This window comes from Homo sapiens, chromosome 8 (genome assembly GCF_000001405.40).
Source record: "Homo sapiens chromosome 8, GRCh38.p14 Primary Assembly".
Taxonomy (NCBI): domain Eukaryota; kingdom Metazoa; phylum Chordata; class Mammalia; order Primates; family Hominidae; genus Homo; species Homo sapiens.
In genome coordinates, this window is record NC_000008.11 from 85596063 (window position 1) to 85597232 (window position 1170).

The following is a 1170-nucleotide window of genomic DNA, read 5'->3' on the forward strand; positions in this document are numbered from 1 at the left end:
TTTATTTTTCATTTCTCTATGTTAACTTTGTTTCAAAATACAAATATATTTTAACATTGCTGGCTCCGAACAACACTAAATTGATTTTAGAACGTGAAAGATAAGAGCCTTAATCAGCCATCTCCACTTAGGAGATCTGAGAGTTCAGAGAGAGATGTAAAGCACCATGGTTCCGCTGAAGGGGTTGTTCTCCATTGGCACCTGAAAGGCAGGATTGGGGTGTGGCTTCCTCATGCCTGAGCCAGTGTGCTTTGCTCTGTTCCTGGGACGCAGACAACGCACCTAAGCCTGTCACTCAGATCCTTTCTTCTAGATCTAGATGGAAACACAACAAATATTTTTTTGATCAGCACAAATTCCCTCCAACTGCGAGAAAAAATAGCTGACTGCACATGCCCTAGCAAGGCCTGGCCAATGGCTTCTTTTTTATTCTGTGAGAAGCACGGTGTTTGTCTTCAGTAGAGATTACATAAAATCCTGGCGATTTTGCATTCTGTAAGTTTCTCACACTTACCCACTTTTTCCTTCTCCATTACTATTTCTCCATTCCAAAGTACTGTATTCTCTCACCTACCTGAGAATAGCTTCCTAGAATGGATCCTCCTCTCTCCATACTGTATTCCTCCCGCCCAATTGTTTTTTCCGTAGCTAGCATTGACCTTGTAGAATGCACACCTGCTCTCATCCATGTCCATCAACGCTGCTGCCCTCCCGTCTACCACTACCACCTCAATGGCTTCCCATCTCTCTGATGAAAGAAAAACTTCAGCCGAATTAAACTTAAAGGAGCTTAACTGAGCAACGAACAGTTCACAAATTGGGCAGCCCCCAGAAACAGCAGATTCAGAGACTCCAGTGCAGCCACATGGTGGAAGAATATTTATAGACAAAAAAGGTAAATAACGTACAGAAATTGGGAAGTGAGGTACAGAGCAGCTGGATTGGTTACAGGCTGGCGTTTGCCTTATTTGAACACGGTTTGAACACTCAGCAGTGTATGACTGGTTGAAGTACAGCGCTGGGATTTGCCAAGACCCAGCTATTGTCACAGGCGCATACTCCTAAGTTAGGTTTTCAATCTTGTCTACCTATTAAGCTAGGTTGCAGTTTGTCCACAAGGACTCCAATATAGAAGTACAGAGTCCTTCTCAGGTCATATTTAGTTCGCTT

At 43.3% G+C, this 1170-nt stretch overlaps 1 annotated feature.

The window, feature by feature from the left end:
- Nucleotides 305-505: a silencer, noted in NCBI's record as "peak7093 fragment used in MPRA reporter construct". NCBI's record gives its function as "represses an SCP1 promoter by STARR-seq MPRAs in K562 erythroleukemia cells {active_cell/tissue: K562}" and the evidence as "EXISTENCE:reporter gene assay evidence [ECO:0000049][PMID:32103011]".